Raw genomic sequence first — 17,683 nt, 5'->3', positions numbered from 1 at the left:
GGTCCCTGGGGCCGGCCTCGTGCCCCCCACCCCCAGGGGCCGAGATGCTGCTTCCCGGAGGATTGGAGAGCGCACAGTACCACATCACATCACACTTCCCAACAGCCCATCATCTCAGAGTCACACCAGGCCCGTCCTGATCACTTCTGAATTCTAGGTAATAAAAAATGGATGATCCTCAATATTACCAATTATTTCACTTGGTGCAAAATCCCATCACCTGGAAAAAAAAGCACATTAAGCAGGAGCGGAATGCTGCAATAATGTGAAACTGCTGTGTGCCGCAGAGTGATACACACTGTTATTAACACGGGCCACATATGTTAATGGGGATTCTCAAACAATGAAGTCACTTGAGTAACTATTTTTAAATGTTCATTCTCACATGTTCTTCTTTTGGAAATAGGGCCTTTTAAAGGAGATAATGCCTACAAAGTGATTTGTTGGACTAGAATCTATTAAGCAAATGAAAAGTACAGAATGTAAAGGGTGAAAGAAAAAGCAGCCGAATGATGGAAAGCTGGATAGTAACAAGAAAACTCAGCATTTGCTGGTTTCCAAATGAGCTAAGCATGCTCAGGTTGTCAAAGGGCTGCATGGAGAGGAAGCCAGCCCAGTGCCAGGGACCTTGTTTTTTCTCTGTTTGACCGAATCCCAAACCAATGCATCGTGAGAGACGTGTCTTGAGACGAGATGAGCAGACACCCCCAGACGTTCAGGGACTAGGCCTGGTCACAGCCTCCCAGTGGTGAGGACGGCACAGAAACCTGTGTTCTGGTCTCTGTGCCGGGCTGTGTCTCTAGTGACATCAAAATTCAGCCACAGAACGCATAGGGAGTTGAGGAGGCCGACAGGTAGCACGGCATTTCCCAGAAACGCAGGATGAGCCCCTTGACCTCTAGGGCTTTGATGGTGGGAGTTGAAGTTGGGCAGGTCCATTGCATAACTCCCCTTACCCATCCCTAGCATCTCCCTGTTGCTTAATCAGAGCTGCTGTCAGGGCAGATTGCTGGAGGTCAGGAGTTTGGGACCAGCCTGGCCAACATGGTGAAACCCCGTCTCTATTAAAAATACAAAAAATTAGCCGGGCGTGGTGGTGCATGCCTGTAACCCCAGCTACTCAGGAGGCTGAGGCAGGAAAATCACTTGAACCTGCGAGGCGGAGATTGCAGTGAACCCAGATCGCGCCACTGCACTCCAACCTAGGTGACAGAGGGAGACTCCGTCTCAAAAAATAAATAAATAAAAACTGTATTGGTATATTAATCCTTTTCTGGAACTCTCAAGTCAATCACGAATCCCTTCTTTCAAGCCTAAAGGACTTCTCCAGACAGCTGTCCAAAAGCGGCTCTGCACGTCTGATTGCAGTGATTGGGGTTGGGAAGGATGCATTTGGAGTCACCTGCGGGTGCTCGGTGAGGGCCTGGATGTTGATGGAGTAGGGACCTGAGGTTCCCAGGCTAAGGAGGTGTCTTGGAAGCCAAGTGAAGGGAGTGTTTCCAGAGGATGGGGTGGTCCACGTGTCACAGGCTCCTGCCGGCAAGCTGAGCTCTGTGTGGGGTCCTGACAGGTTGCAGACAGCTGGAGGAGAGAGGAGACGCCCTCAAGGGACTCACAGAAAAGAGGAATGCAGGGCAAGGGAGGTTTCCACTTTTAAGAATGGAGAAGTGAAAATAAGCTTCTTCCTGAAAGTCTGGCATCGGAGTAAAGTGACTTTTTTTTTTTTTTGAGATGGAGTCTCACTCTGTCGCCCAGGCTGGAGTGAAGTGGCACGATCTTGGCTCAGTGCAACCTCTGCCTCCCGGGTTCAAGCTATTCTCCTGCCTCAGCCTCCCTAGTAGCTGGGATTACAAGTGCCCGCCACCAGGCTCAGCTAATTTTTGTATTTTTAGTAGAGATGGGGTTTCATCATGTTGGTCAGGCTGGTCTCAAACTCCTGACCTCAGGCGATCTGCCCACCTCGGCCTCCCAAAGTGTTGGGATTACAGGTGTGAGCCACTGCACCCGGCCTTTTTTTTTTTTTTTTGAGACGGAGTTTCGCTCTTGTTGCCCAGGCTGGAGTGCGATGGTGAGATCTTGGCTCACCGCAACCTCCGCCTCCTGGGTTCAAGCAATTCTCCTGCCTCAGCCTCCCGAGTAGCTGGGATTAGAGGCATGCGCCACCACCCCAGCTAATTTTGTATTTTTAGTAGAGACGGGGTTTCTCCATGTTGGTCAGGCTGGTCCTCAACTCCCGACCTCAGGTGATCTGCCCACCTCAGCCTCCCAGTGTGCTGGGATTACAGGCATGAGCCACCACGCCCGGCTTTTTTTTTTTTTTTTTTTTTGAGACAGGGTCTCTCTCTGTTTCCCAGGCCGGAGTGCAGTGGTGCAATCATGGCTGGCTGCAGCCTTAACCTCCTGGGATCAAGCAATCTTCCCACATCAGCCTCCAGAGTAGCTGGGACTACAGACACACATTACACCCAATTACTTTTTTATTTTATATTTTGTAGAGTCACGGTCTCACTATGTTGCCCAGGCTGGTTCAAATTCCTGGCCTCAAGTGATACTCCCGCCTCACCCTCCCAAAACACTGGGAATACAGGCATGAGCCACTGCACCTGGTCAGGAATTTAGTAGAGATGGGGTTTCACCACGTTGGCCAGGCTGGTCTCGAACTCCTGACCTCAAGTGATCCACTCGCCTCGGCCTCCCCAAGTGCTGGGATTAGAGGCGAGAGCCACCACACCCAGCCATGTGACTATTATTTTTGTGGGAAAGGGCTGGATTCCTGACCTAGCTCTCTGTGTTTGGTGAAGGCTGGGGTTTGGATTTAGTGAGTCAAAAGTGAGGTGTAAATGGTGCAGATGCTTTTACTGGCCCTTACACACAGCAGGATCCTGAGCCTGGCAAGAGGATGCCATTCAGGGAGAAAGAAGCCTCCAGGTCCTCACTGTTAGCAAAGCCTAAGGGGTAAACAGAGGGGGCTGTGAACTTGGAGGAGAAAAAGAGGGAGTGGAAAAAGCCATGCATCCACACGGCTCTGCAGGACTTAGGGCCAGGCAGGCCCAACCCAGCATGAATGTTCGAGGCCATGGGAGCCAGCCCTCCTGTGACATAGCCACCTCTCAGCATCAGAGAAGTAGATGGCTGCTGTACTGGGCTGACTAATAATAGCCCCAGCCTTCATGTCCATCCAGAACCTGTGACCTCATTTGGACAAAGTGTCTTTGCAGATGGAATCAAGTTAAGATGGGGCCACACTGGATTCATGTGGGGCCTAAATCCAATGTGACTGGTGTCCTTGGAGGAAGGGAATTGGGACCTCCTTAGGGGCTGTCATCCTGCCTGCTCCAGTGGCACAGAAACCAAACTTTGCTGCCTGGCAGCCAAATTCCAGGGTGTTGAAGCCACCTGCGTGAAGCCCTGGCATGTTGTCACAGGAGAAGCTCATCGTCAATCAACAATGCCTTCCTCACAAAGCTGGTAAGAATGCTAAAACTGCTCCCTCCAGGACCGGCAGTGCTAATAGCTTATAAAATTAAACTTCTTTCCTACAGATCTAGACATGAAATTTTATTCTTTATATTACTGCACAAATTTACTTCATGGGTACAGATACGGACATGAACAAAATTACCAACTTTAGAGAACTGAATTAAGAAAAGAGCCCTCCCCGCTCTGAAGTCATCCAAACTCCCCGAGCAGAGAAAACAAGCCCCAGCGGGCCACCTTATTTCCTTTTCATTTTTTGGTCTAGGACTTTAATTTTTCTACATCCTGAACACAAAAGTCGTATGTTCCTGAAGTCAGAAAAACCGCAATAGCCCATTTATACCCACCAGAAGTTAAACCTGTGCTCTGCGTGTTAAGGCTGATGAAGGAGCACTTCATTACGCCACTCAAACTGGAATCCCATCTCCGCCGGGCAGAAGCTCTTCTGGAGAGCTGCTTTTCATGCTCACACTGCAATTTCACATCCATCAGGGAAATGGGAAAGAGGCACTCGGAGCTGTCACTCAGGGATGGGCCACAGGATTTGGACCGAGAGTCCTTTCTGGAGGGGCATGGCCTTCTACACAGAAACCTACAGTAGGCGGGAAGACGCCGTGAGATGGGACGAGGGAGTGAGTGTGCGTGGGATGGGCACAACTTGCCTCGTGAGCAGGTGGACCCTTGAGGGCTGGTGCCCAGGACCACTCCTGCCCAGCACCAACCACTGAGCCCCACCCCTGGGCCCTCGCACCTCCCCATGCCCAGGCCAGGAAATCGTCCCCTCCACATAGGTTTCTTGGAGGGATTATGAGGTTGGTGGGCTGGGGAGGGGCGCCCATTTGTAGATGCCTGATCCTGCTCAGGCACTTTGCAGCATTTGACCACCAGTGTGGATGGTGACCAAAGTGAAAACACCTGCTCCAGGAGCCAGCTGTGCCCCCTCTCCAAGCTGGAGCAGTCTCCCTGGGCCAGGAGGACTCGCCTCTGGCGTTTTTTGCCAGCAGCCTCCGGGATCCCCTGATGATGCTGTCAGCATTCAATTTGGCGGATTTGTCACCCACTGAGAGCCCCTCATGTATTTATTTTATTTTATTATTTTTTGAGACGGAGTCTCGCTCTGTCACCCAGGCTGGAGTGCAGGGGCAAAATCTCAGTTCACTGCAACCTCCGCCTCCCGGGGTCAAGCGATTCTTGTGCCTCAGCCTCCGAAGTAGCTGGGATTACAGGCACCTGCCACCACGCCTGGCTAATTTTCATATTTTTAGTGGAGACAGGGTTTTGTCATGTTGTCCAGGCTGGTCTTGAACTCATGGCCTCAAGTGATCTGCCCACCTCGGCCTCCCAAAGTGCTGGGATTACAGGTGTGAGCCACCGTGCCCAGCCAGGAGCCCCTCATTTAAAATGACCTGCTGGCCAGTGCCAGGAGCCCTGCCCTAAGCAAGCGCCTCACAGGGTCCTTCACCCAAGGCAGCCTCTTAAAGTGAGTTAGTGTTGGGAGCAGGCATTAGATCATGAGCTTGTTCTCCATTAAAAAAACTTACTAAATTGACACAAATTGTATATATTAATATTTATTGTGTACCACACATTCGGAAACGTATACATGGTGGAATGGTTACATCGAGCTAATTAACGTGCATTACTGCACATATTTTACTTGTGATTAATAACACTTGAGACCTCTCATCAATTTCAAGAACATAATACCTTGCTATTAACTATAGCTGTGTTATGCAATAGATCTCTTGAATTTTTTCCATTTTAATTAACTTTGGGTTAGGATTCAGACCAGCTTTGCTGTGGGCTGAATAATTACCACCCCCGCCCCCAACCCAAGGTGTCCTGCCCTGATCCCGGAACCTGTGATTGTCACCTCACATGACAGAGGGCATCTTTCTTGTGCGATTATGTTGATGCTGTGGAGATGAGCAGATTGTCCTGGACTAGCCAGGTGGGCCCCAAGGTCACAAGGCTCATTATGAGTGAAAGACGGAGGCAGGAGGTCAGAATCAGAAGATGGGAGGACAAGATCCAGGTGGGAGTGACGTGCTCTGGAGGAGGGAGGGGCCACAAGCTCAGGGGCTTGAGCGCCTCAGGGGTTTGGGCGCCTCTGGAAGCTGGAAGAGGCCGGGAAATAGGTTCTCCCCCTGGAACCTGCAGGGGGAACACGGCTCTGTCAGCACGCTTGATTTTAGCCAGTGTGTTAATTCGTTCGGGCTGCTATGACCAGAATATTATTGGGACGGCTTCAACAACAGGAATAGATTCTTCAGAGTCCTGGGGGCTGCGGCGTCCAAGGTCAAGGCACTGGCTGATTGGATGGCTGGTGAGGCCCCTCCTGATTTGCCCACTGCCTGTTTCATGCTGTGTCCTCACGTGAGGCAGAGATCCTCTCCTTCCTATCCCTTCTCATAAGGGCACTAACCCCATCACGAGGGTGCCACCCTCCAGGCCTGATTGCCTCCCAAAGCCCCACCTCCTGATACCATCACCCTGGTGACTGGGCTGTCACATAGGAATTTTACCAGGCACAGTGTCTGGAGTGACCAGTGAGTCCCATTTCAGACTCTGACCTCCAGAACTGAAGAATAATACATCTGTGCTGTTTTAGGCCACCAGGTTTTCGATACTTCGTTGAAGCAGCAATAGGAAATGAATGGAGGATATTGGTTTGAATGTAGTAAAACTTCCAGGCCGCACTCACGTGCTTCGTCATGTTTTTGAAGCTACAGAAGTAAGTGATCATCTCACAGCCCTAAGGTAGTTCAGCATTCTCTCCTGGGTCTTTTGAATTTGGGGAAACCAGGGACTGGTTCCCTACCCCAGCTCCCCCGTAGGCAGCATGGTGAAGCTATCCTATGCCCCAGGGCTGAGATGGGGCATGAAGTTGAATGGAGTGCCAAAAATCTTGGTAGCCAGGATAAAAAATATTTAACTCAATATTTTAAAAACTCAAAATTAATGCAAAAAACTCCATGATGAAAAAAAGGCTGCAACAGTGAACACAGGCAGGACTGTTTCTGCCCTTTCAGACTCAGCCGCCCCCACCTCTCCTGCCAGGCCCTGCTGCACGTGGTCACTCCGTTTCTCAGCCCTTGGACTTGTCTATTTCAGACTGTAACATCCCTGGCACTCCCCCACGCGCAGCACAATCTCTGGCTACTCTGAAATGTAAATGGGTGACTTATCCAAAGCCACCTAAATGAGCCAGAATTTACAACTTCACTTCTATGTAAGTCATTTGTCTTTTCTAGAGGGAAGGAATGGACACAGTTCAGGGAGCATCAGAGAAGCTTCAGGGTGGATTTATGCTCAGCATTTAAAATCTTTAACCCAAACCAAGCCCGGTATACCCAAAGGACTTCCCGCTTACTGCTCTTTAGGGCTCAGATATTTCAAAGACATAAAGCAAACCACACAGGTCAGCATTTTTCTAATGTTCTGGACACCATGCTGAGTTCAAATCGACTCATTCACAATGAATCATAATAACATCGGAAGCAATGCCAAGAGAGTCAGAGAGGCCGGGCACAGAGGCTCACACCTGTAATCCCAGCACTTTGGGAGGGTGAGGCAGGCGGATCACTTGAGGTCACGAGTTCAAGGCCAACCTGGCCAACAGGGCAAAGTCCCGTCTCTACTAAAAAAACACAAAAATTAGCCAGGCGTGATGGTGAGTACCTGTAAGCCAAGCTACTCAGGAGATTCTCAAGTCTCCGCTGAGGCAGGAGAATCACTTGAACCCAGGAGGCGGAGGTTGCAGTGAGCCAAGATCACACCAGCGCACTCTAGCCTGGGTGACAGAGCAAGACTCCCTCTCAAAAAGAGGAAAAAAAAAATTAGCCAGACATGGTGGTGAGCACCTGTAAGCCAAGCTACTCGGGAGGCCGAAGCACGAGAATTACTTGAACCGGGGAAGTGGAGGTTGCAGTGAGCAGAGATCGTGCCTCTGCACTGCAGCCTTGGCCACAGAGAAAGACTCTATCTCAAAAAAAAGGAGAGTCAGAGAAGAAGATTCAGCCTGGTTATCATTGTGCATCAGAGGTCGTTCATTCATTCACTCCCATCATTCAGTCACTCAACAAATATCCCTCAGCCACCTGTATATTTATGCTGTAGCTCCATTTTAGACAGGGACACAGCAGTGAACTAAACAGGAACTCAGCTTTCCTGGAGCCCACATTTTCATGCAAGAGACAGAGAATAAACGTGTCATCAAACAGTCACATATCAGAAAGTGAAAGCGTTTTGAAGAAGCAATAGAAGATGATGTGATGCATGATGAAGATGGAGGAGGGGGTCTGCCTTAGGTTGGCTTGTCCAGGGACGCCGAGGGACCAGGAGCCAGCTTGCTAATATCGAAGGACAGAGTTTCAGGCCAGGAGAACTAAGGGAAAAGCCCAAAGTCAGGAGAAAGCTTGATGCATGCAGTGAACAGAAAGAAGGTCTGGGAGGGAGATGGGGGAGGCAGGGCTGACGTGTAGAGGCGGTGAGTAACTCCACACAGAGCAGGACTCCGGAGCAAACCACTTTCTTTTTTTTTTTTTTTTTTTTTTTTTTTGAGGTGGAATCTTGCTCTGTCACCCAGGCTGGAGTGCAGTGTCATGGTCTTGGCTCACTGCAACCTCCGCCTCCCGGGTTCAAACAATTCTCCTGCCTCAGCCTCCCAAGTAGCTGGGATTACAGGCGTGTGCCACCATGCACAGCTAATTTTTGTATTTTTAGTAGAGACCAGGTTTCACCATGTTGGTCAGGCTGGTCTTGAACTCCTGACCTCCAGAGATCTGCCTGCCTCAGCCTCCCAAAGCGCTGGGATTACAGGCATGAACCACCGTGCCCAGTGGCAAACCACTTTTTTTTTTTTTTTTTTGAGACAGAGTCTCACTCTCGCCCAGGCTGGAGTGCAGTGGCGCGATCTCAGCTCACTGCAACCTCTGCCTCCCGGGTTCAAGCGATTCTCCTGCCTCAGCCTCCCGAGTAGCTGGGATTAGAGGCGCCTGCCACCACACCCGGCTAATTTTTGTATTTTTAGTAAAGAGGGGAATTTGCCATGTTGGCCAGGCTGGTCTCAAACTCCCAACCTCAGGTGATCCGCCTCCCAGCAAACCATTTTTTAAGGATAGCCCCCACCTTCCGTCAAGCAGTTGGTGAGATTCCCATTAGATGTCCAGCATTTCTTATTCAGCCTGCTATCTAGTGGCCGAAACATAGAACTACAGGCTATTTTCAAAAACTGCAAAGAAATTTTCTTGAATGCCTCCAACAACGAAATTGTGCAGAGAAGAATACCGTTAGCTTTTGCCAGAATGTTCGTATGGAACCTGGTCACTCAAGTTGTTTTTCCAAAACCTCTTAGGTTCAAAGTCAATACGATTTTTGAACACACCAGTCGTCTGTCATGTACGGGGACATACGCCCTTGCAGATTTGCTCCCGCACTTTGAGAGAATGAACATGCCTCAAGCCTGGGCTTCCCTGGAAGACAGCCTGAGATGCGGCCTCAGGAGCAGGAGTGAGGAACAGGGAGTGAAACCGGGGAGAAAGGAGAGTAGGAGAAAGAGAAGTTCCGGAGCTGGTGGCCACCCTGGGTGCCTGGGGCCGGACTCCCTGGGTCCTTTGGAGGAGCCTTTTCAAATGCATCTCAGAGCTGTCTGCTTGGGCACAAGACAGGGTAGGCGGGGGAAGCTATCCATTGGTCTCATCCTCCCTCCACGAGCATGATTCCTTGAGCATAGCTGCCAGCTCCCGGGTTATCCAAGGGCCAGTGCTGAGCAGGTTTCCAGGCATCCCCACTGTGGAGTCAGAGGTGAGTTCTGGAAAGTCATCTAGGTGAACTGAGGGCACTCCTCGCATGGGAAGACCCGAACAGAGACGGCCAACTCAGAGGCGCTGACCTGGACAGACGCCTTGCACACACGCTGGAATTTTTCCCAAGACAGAAATGGTCTGGGAACCGCCAATGGGGCACTTCCCAGAGCGTTGGATCCAGACACCCTCCCCTCATTCACCCGGTTCTTCCAGGGACTAGTGTTGGCCCCTGTGAGTTCCAGGAGCCGGCGTTTCCAAAGCTGCTTGCTGTGCTGGAGGAGATTTTCATCCTGAGCCTTGGACCAGGTTGGGGCGGGTCAGATCCTGAGGCTACAGGAGGCCGAGATCACCAACAGGCACTCGCCGGCCGTGTGTGGCATTTGGGGACACTCTGCTCAGCTTGGAGATTATTTTCTTCAGTTGAACTAATAGCTCGGTGTCCTCGCTAGGGCTGCTGCAGGACCAGATTTCCACTGACTTCGTGGCTTACCCAACTGGAATTTATGCTCCCTGTTCTGGAGGCCAGAAATCTGAAATCACAGTATTGGCAGGTCTGGCTTCCTCCAGAGGCTCTATGCCTCTTCCATCTCCTGGTGGCTGCCAGCGTCCCTTGGCTTGTGGCGGCATCGCTCCCATCTCTGCCTCTGTCTTCACTTGGCCTCCTCTCTGTGTCTGTGTCCTTTCCTGTCTCTTAAAAGGACACTTGTCGTTGGATTTAGGGTCCACTCAATTACAAATGATCTCATCTCCATTCTCTTTTTGTTTTTTATTTTTATTTTTTTCTTTGAGATGGAGTCTTGATCTGTTGCCCAGGCTGGAGTGCAGTGGTGCCATCTTGGCTTACTGCAACCTCCGTCTCCTGTGTTCAAGCGATTCTCCTACCTCAGCCTCCCGAGTAGCTGGGATTACAGGCACCCGCCACCACGCCCGGCTAATTTTTGCATTTTTAGTAGAGGGGTTTTCACCAAGTTGGCCAGGATGGTCTTGAACTCCTGACCTCAGGTGATCCGCCCGCCTCGGCCTCCCAAAGTGCTGGGATTACAGGTGTGAGCCACCGTGCCCGGCCCTCATCTTCATTCTTCATGACACCTGCAAAGGCCCTGTTTGGGAATGAGACCACATTCTGAAGATCTGAGTGAGCATGAATTTTGGGGGAACACCATTCAAACCACTAAACACACTGGAGAAAGAATCAGGGGATTTTTTTACTTTAGAAAATCCAGACTTCTGGCCAGGTGTGGTGGGCTCACACCTGTAATCTCTGCACTTTGGGAGGCCAAGGCGAGTGGATCACCTAAGATTGGGAGTTCGAGACCAGCCTGGCCAACATGGTGAAACCCCATCTCTACTAAAATTACAAAAATTAACCGGGCATAGTGGTGGGCGCCTATAATTCCAGCTACTCAAGAGGCTTAGGCACGAGAATCACTTGAGCCCAGGAGGCAGAGGTTGCCATGAGCTGAGATTATGCCACTGCACTCCAGCCTGGGTGATAGAGTGAGACTCTGTCTCAAAAAGGAAAAAAAAAAGAAAAAGAAAAGAAAGAAAATCCAGACTTCCAAAGACATCAGAAAATTGGTCAAGATTGGATTCTAGGCCCTAGGCTGTCTCCTTTGGAAGGGGCATCTCTTCTGAATTGCTGCAGTTCTGGTGGCTCAGAAGAGGCACACCTATACCCTCTCCCTGGCTGGTTAGTGCATTGGCATCACCTACCTGGGCTGGGCAGGGTCTGAGTGTCTGGCCATTGATGTGAGAGAAGTTAATAGTTGGCAGAAAGTGCTGAGTAAGCTGCTGGCTTCACTATGGCCTTTCAAAATGAAACAAAATTGCTGTGCTTTGAAAAGTCCAGCATCAGGGGAGAATAGACCCTTCACTTCAGAACCTTTATAATGGTAGGTCACAGGTTAGAACAGAACACCTCCATGAATTTCTGTCTTGTGCAGACAATTCACATTACAGCAATTTATATCACTCCAATTAAGTAAAGCCATTACTTCCCTTACTCATTAGTTCAGATGGCTCTTATCTTGTTGAGAGAAGTTCATCCAAGACACAGAGACTTTATGTGGTCTAACCTTGCCTGAAGTAAAAAGAAAGTCTGTCTGCTGTTGCATGTAACCCTATAAAGGTTCATCAGTACTGGAGAGATAGATTTCTATATAAGGTTAGAAGCATCAGAAATCCAACACAGTCTGGCTTAAGCATGATAGGAAACTAATTGGTGCAAGTAAATGAAAGCCTACATGTGGATTTCAGGTATGGGTGGATCCAGCAGCTCACATCATGGTACCAGCACTCTGTCTCTTCCCATCTTTTGGGTATGGTTTTATCTGTGTTGACTTCACTCTCAATTTATTCTGCAAGGCTGCAAGAGCTTCTGATCCAGGAACTCCATGCTTTTATTCTACCAACATTGACCCCTGTGAAAATCAGGTTTCTCCTTCCCACAAGTTCCAATAAGAGTCTCAGAATTGATCTCGTTGGTTCTGACTGGAAAGGTTACAGACACATGCTCATCACCACAGCCAGGAATGTGCAAACCTCCCACTGGCCAGGACTGGTTCACACCACAGCCCTGGAAAGCAGATCAGGACCGGCTGTCCCAAACCACATGGATAAAGACTGGGGGACTGTGGCTCCCTGAGGAAATTCTGGGATACAGTTTTTTTTTGTTTCTAGGAATGGGGTCTTGCTCTGTTGCCCAGGCTGGAGTGCAGTGGTGCAATCGTGGCTCACTGTAACCTCAACCTCTCAGGTGCAAGCAATCCTCCCACTTCAGCCTCCAGAGTTGCTGGCACTACAGGCATGCATCACCATGCCCAGCTAATTTTTTAATTTTTATTCTTATTTTTGTGGAAATGGGGTCTCGCTATATTGTCAAGGCTGTCTTCGAACTCCTGGACTCAAGCAATTGTCTCGCCTCAGCCTCCCAAAGTGCTAGGATCACAGGTGTGAGCCATTGCACCCTGCCTTGGAATAGTGTTTCCAAAGTAACAGGAAGGAAACTTAAACAAATTAACAGATGTCTGTTACATATTGTGTTACCCATTGACATGGTTTGGCTGTGACCCCAACCAAATCTCATCTTGAATTGTAGCTCCCATAATTCCCACATGTCATGGGAGGGACTCTGTGGGAGGTAATTGAGTCATGGGGGCAGGTGTTTCCCATGCTGTTCTCGTGGTAGTGAATAAGTCTCACGAGATCTGATGGTTTTATAAAGGGCAGTTCCCCTGCACACACTCTTGCCTGCCACCATGAAAGATGTGCCTTTGCTCCTCCTTCACCTTCTGCCGTGATTGTGAGGCCTCCCCAGCCATGTGGAACTGTGAGTCCATTAAACCTCCTTTCCTTTATAAATTAGCCAGTCTCGGGTATGTCTTTATTGGCAGCGTGAGAACAGACTAATCCACCAATTTTACCTATTTGGACTTTTGTCTGGATCTCAGGCCTTCCTCCAAGTCCACAGCCCTCAACAGCCAAGCTCCCAGCACTCTGGGGAGTAGTTTACCAACTTAACACACAACCCTGCCCACATTGCTTTATCTCAACACCCATAGGTGGTCTCTGATCCAGGGAATGGTTCACGCCAGTCAGTTTCACCTAGACATGAATTTCAGGCAGGACCACTTTGCCAGAGGGTTGGTTTGATGGTGGCTTTTGAATGGAGGACTGACCAGATCCTGCCCAGAGATAGTCACAAGCTGATGTGGGGCACAAGCCTCAGACCCTCAGACAGTGGGGTGTGAGCTGGGTCATCAGAGGGGACCATGCAAAGAGGTGGTACAAGAAAGGGGACCCAGGGACCACCTGGAATGCAGCGTTTCTGAATCAGACCCATCCGTGCCACTATAATTGTTGCTATGTCTGCAAGTATGAGTTTACTGGGGCTTCCCTAACAAAGTACTGCCAGCTTCATGGCTCAATACCACAGAAATTCAATCTGTTCTGCAGGCAGACACGACTATTCTCATTTACACAGACAAGGTAACATGCATGGAGATATACAGCCCCTTGCCTGCATTGCTCATGTGGGAAGCAGGAGAGCAGGAATTTGACCCAAGAGAGTCTGCTCTGAAGACCATGTTTCTTCTTGTTTCTTCTTTTTTTCACTTTATATATCATTTTTATTCATTTTAAAAGTATACATTTAAGGCATACAACATGATGTTTTGATTACTACTGTCAAGCGTATTAACATACCCATTATCTCAAATAGTTACCTGTTTTTGAGTGTAAAAAGCACCTAAAATCTGTCATCCCATTTTTACTACAGAAAACACTATTATTGGCTGGCGCAGTGGCTCACGCCTGTAGTCCCAGCACTTTAGGAGGCTGAGGTAGGTGGATCACCTGAGGTCAGGAGTTTGAGACCAGCCTGGCCAACATGGTGAAACCCCGTCTCTACTAAAAATACAAAAATCAGCCAGGCATGGTGGCACACACCTGTAGTCCCAGCTACTTGGGAGGCTGAGGCAAGAGAATCGCTTGAGCCTGGGAGGCGGAGGTTGCAGTGAGCCAAGATCACACCACTGCACTCCAGCCTGGGTGACAGTGAGACTCTGTCTCAAAAATAACAATAATAACAAAGAGAAACATACCAAAGATGAAAAATAATTGTAACATTAAATACCATGAAAACAGCTAAACTCAGTTGCCTGCCTATTTCAAAATAGCTAAAAGAGAAGATTTGAAATGTTTCCAACACAAAGAAATGATGATGGAGATCCTAAATACCCTGATTTAATCACTGCACATTGTCTGCATGTATTAAAAGATCCCGTGTATTCCATAAACATGCATAATTATTAGGTATCAGTTAAAAAATTTTAAAGAGAAATTAGCCAGTGTTGAGGAGGTGTTAAACTATACGTGTACCTGAGTGAGACTTGATTTCCAAAACAGGATTGAAAAGAAGCTTTCTCATTATCTGGGTGGATGTTATTTCATGCCACAAATGTGCAGCTGTAAATCATTTCCCAATGATGGTGGCGTGCATCCCACCTGTGTGGAGACTGGAATCAGGCTTCATTCAGCTTCCAGTCTCCAATGGTTAGGGCTGTGGTGGAGGGTGGGGTGCTGTCTGAGTCCTCATTCCAGAGGTTATAAGAATGAAGACTGGCAGCCTCCTTCCAGCCAAGCTGGGTTAGCGGGTCCACATATCAAGGCCCGCTCAGCTGTCTCCTGGGGGACTTTTCAGGGCCTCAGGAAGAGGGGATCCTCACTGACCCTGGAGTGGGGCGGCTGAGGTCAGTCCACAGCCCCTCCAATGCCAGCTGCTGGAGCCTGTACAAAGACCCCCCTTTCGTCTCCCGATTCTGCAGCGAGTATAGGACCTGCCAGTGGCGCAACCTGGCAACCACCTCTTCGTGTGTATACACATGCATGCATATGCTTACACACATTTGTACACACACAAACTCACACAGGCATGCACACACACACACCACACACAGCATGTGTACACAAACACATTTGCACACACAGAAACAACACACACTTCTCTCTCCAAGTGTCAGTTTTATTCTCTGGCTACTTTTTTTTTTTTTTTTTTTGAGACAGAGTCTCGCTCTGTCGCCCAGGCTGGAATGCAGTGGCATGATCTTGGCTCACTGCAACCTCCGCCTCCCGGGTTCAAGCAATTCTCCCACTTCAGCCTCCCGAGTAGCCAGGATTACAGGTGCATGCCATTATGCCTGGCTAATTTTTGTATTTTTAGTAGAAACAAGGTTTCACCATGTTGGCCAGGCTGGTCTCGACCTCAAGTGGACTCCTGACCTCAAGTGATCCACCCACCTCGGCCTCCCAAAGTGCTGGGATAGGCGTGAGCCACCTCTCCTGGCCAATTCTCTGTCTACTTTCATGTTTCTTCTCCGGAGGCCACGCCCAGAGCTTGGATGGGAGGGATCAGGATCACTACTCTTACATCGTTTGGAAGGTACTGGAGACTCAAGAGTAAAGGAAGTGAGACACATAGACTGGACTGAACTTCAGTTCATCACCATCGATGACTTCCCCCTCCCTCCAATAATTAACACCCTTTGGGCTTTGCAGGCACATTCTCGACTAATAAAAGGCCCCTTCCTATTTAGTTACACAAATTATACAAAACTTCATACTTTAAAAATGATAGAAAACATAGACATTGTATAAAGAGGAATAATATGAGCCTTCCCACCATCCAGTGTAGGAAATAGCAATTTATCAATATCCTCAAAACCTGCCATGCTCCCCAAGTTGCCCTCCTCCCTTCCCCCCTCTGTCATAGATTTCATATTTATCATGCTTTCTTTTCTTCATTATTTTACTACATTTGTTTGTGTCCATCAACTTTTTAAAAATTTTTGTATGCATTTAAATTTTACGCAGATGGATCCATGCTATAAGTCTTTTTTTTTTTTTTTTTTTTCATAGACAGAGTCTTGCCTTTGTTGCCCAGGCTGCAGTGCAATGGCGCAATCTTGGCTCACTGCAACCTCTGCCTCCCTGCTTCAAGCGATTCTCCTGCCTCGGCCTCCCAAGTAGCTGGGATTACAGGCACCTGTCACCATGCCCGGCTAATTTTTTGTATTTTTAGTACAGACAGGGTTTCACCATGTTGGCCAGGCTGTTCTGGACCTCCTGACTCCAGGTGATCCACCCATCTTAGCCTCCCAAAGTGCTGGGATTATAGGTGTGAGCCACCATGCCTGGCTGTATGTCTTCTTTTAAGATTTGCTTTGAGGCCAGGCGCGGTGGCTCACACCTGTAATCCCAGCACTTTGGGAGGCCGAGGCGGGCGGATCACGAGGTCAGGAGATCGAGACCATCCTGGCTAACATGGTGAAACCCCGTCTCTATTAAAAATGCAAAAAAATTAGCTGGGCGTGGTGGCAGGTGCCTGTAGTCCCAGCTACTCGGGAGGCTGAGGCAGGAGAATGGCATGAACCCAGGAGGCAGAGCTTGTAGTGAGCGGAGATCGCACCACTGTACTCCAACCTGGGTGACAAAGCAAGACTCCATCTCAAAAAAAAAAAAAGAAGCTGAAAAGAGCATGGGAGATAGATTATGTGAAGCAGGGAAGCATTCCCGCTAACAGGGAACACTTAGCTGTGTTTCTCCTGCTTCTGGAGAGGATGGGATCTCTGTTCCTCTCCCCAGGAATAGGATGATGGCATTACCTACTGTCCAAAGCAAAACACCTTTGAGAATGGGAGTTTAAAAAATATATCAAAACGACACATGGTACTCCATAAATACATACAATTAGTATCTGTCAGTTAAAAATAAATAAATAATAACACTATACCTTAAGAATCTATACCTTAAGAAATATTTTTATGGTGTGACAAATTAGTTTTATTATATTGATGGGCCTATAAAGTCTATTAAAAACTGTTTTAAAAAACATAATGTTTGAAAAACTATTCTAAAAAAATCATACCTGTGTACATTATGGAAAAGAATGTTAAATTCTTTATGTTAACTAAAATACTTTGGCCTGGCATGGTGGCTCACACCTATAATCCCAGCACTTTGGGAGGCCGAGGCGGGTGGATCACTTGAGATCAAGAGTTCAAGACCAGCCTGGCCAACATGGTGAAACCCCATCTGTACTGATAATACAAAAATTAGCCAGGCATGGTAAATTGTGCCTGTAATCCCAGCTACTCAGGAGGCTGAAGCAGGAGAATCACTTGAATCCAGGAGGCAGAGGTTGCAGTGAGCTGAGATGGTCCCACTGCACTCCAGCCTGGATGACAGAGCAAGACTCAGTCTCAAAAAAAATATATTTTTAGTATTAATTTAAAATAACACACCAGGCATGGTGGCTCATGCCTGTAATCCCAGCACTTTGGGAGGCTGAGGCAGGCAGATCACTTGAGGTCAGGAATTCGAGACCAGCCTGGTCAACATGGTGAAACTCCATCTGTACTAAAGATACAAAAATTAGCTGAGTTTGGTGGCATATGCCTGTAATTCCAGCTACTCAGGAGGCTGAGGTAGGAGAATCACTTGAACCCAGGAGGTGGAGGCTGCAGTGAGCCAAGATCGCTCCACTGCACTCCAGCCTGGGCAACAGAATGAGGCCCTCCCTGTCTTTAAATAAAGAAATAATAAAATAACATAAGCTGACTAATTATGCTTACTGCAGATTCACACTCTTTCATTATTTTCTGAGTCATGCGTGTCTCTAATACTATACCAGTGTTATTTTTCTAGAGAATACATTTTTTCAATGTAATCTGTCTAATATAAGCTCAGAACAAGAGCTGCTACATAAAATTTCTTTCACTAACTTTTAAAATATTTAAATTAATAATAAAATATTCAGCCCAAATATTTTCACAGGCAAACTTCTTTTTGCCTCTATTCAGGGAACCTTTCTCGGACAAATATTTTTACAATACAAAACCTAT

General features: G+C 48.2%; 2 annotated features.

Moving 5' to 3' along the window:
- Positions 1,445-1,544: an enhancer, noted in NCBI's record as "active region_7328". NCBI's record gives its function as "activates an Ori minimal core promoter by ATAC-STARR-seq in GM12878 lymphoblastoid cells {active_cell/tissue: GM12878}" and the evidence as "EXISTENCE:reporter gene assay evidence [ECO:0000049][PMID:35858748]".
- Positions 3,838-4,338: an enhancer, noted in NCBI's record as "H3K4me1 hESC enhancer chr12:129271367-129271867 (GRCh37/hg19 assembly coordinates)". NCBI's record gives its function as "activates a minimal SCP1, AML or CMV promoter by ChIP-STARR-seq in naive H9 embryonic stem cells {active_cell/tissue: H9 hESC(naive)}" and the evidence as "EXISTENCE:reporter gene assay evidence [ECO:0000049][PMID:30033119]".

The sequence above is a fragment of the Homo sapiens genome, chromosome 12 (genome assembly GCF_000001405.40).
Source record: "Homo sapiens chromosome 12, GRCh38.p14 Primary Assembly".
NCBI classification, from domain to species: domain Eukaryota; kingdom Metazoa; phylum Chordata; class Mammalia; order Primates; family Hominidae; genus Homo; species Homo sapiens.
Note: the sequence above shows the minus strand (reverse complement) of the source record. Positions and strands in the feature narration are given on the sequence as shown.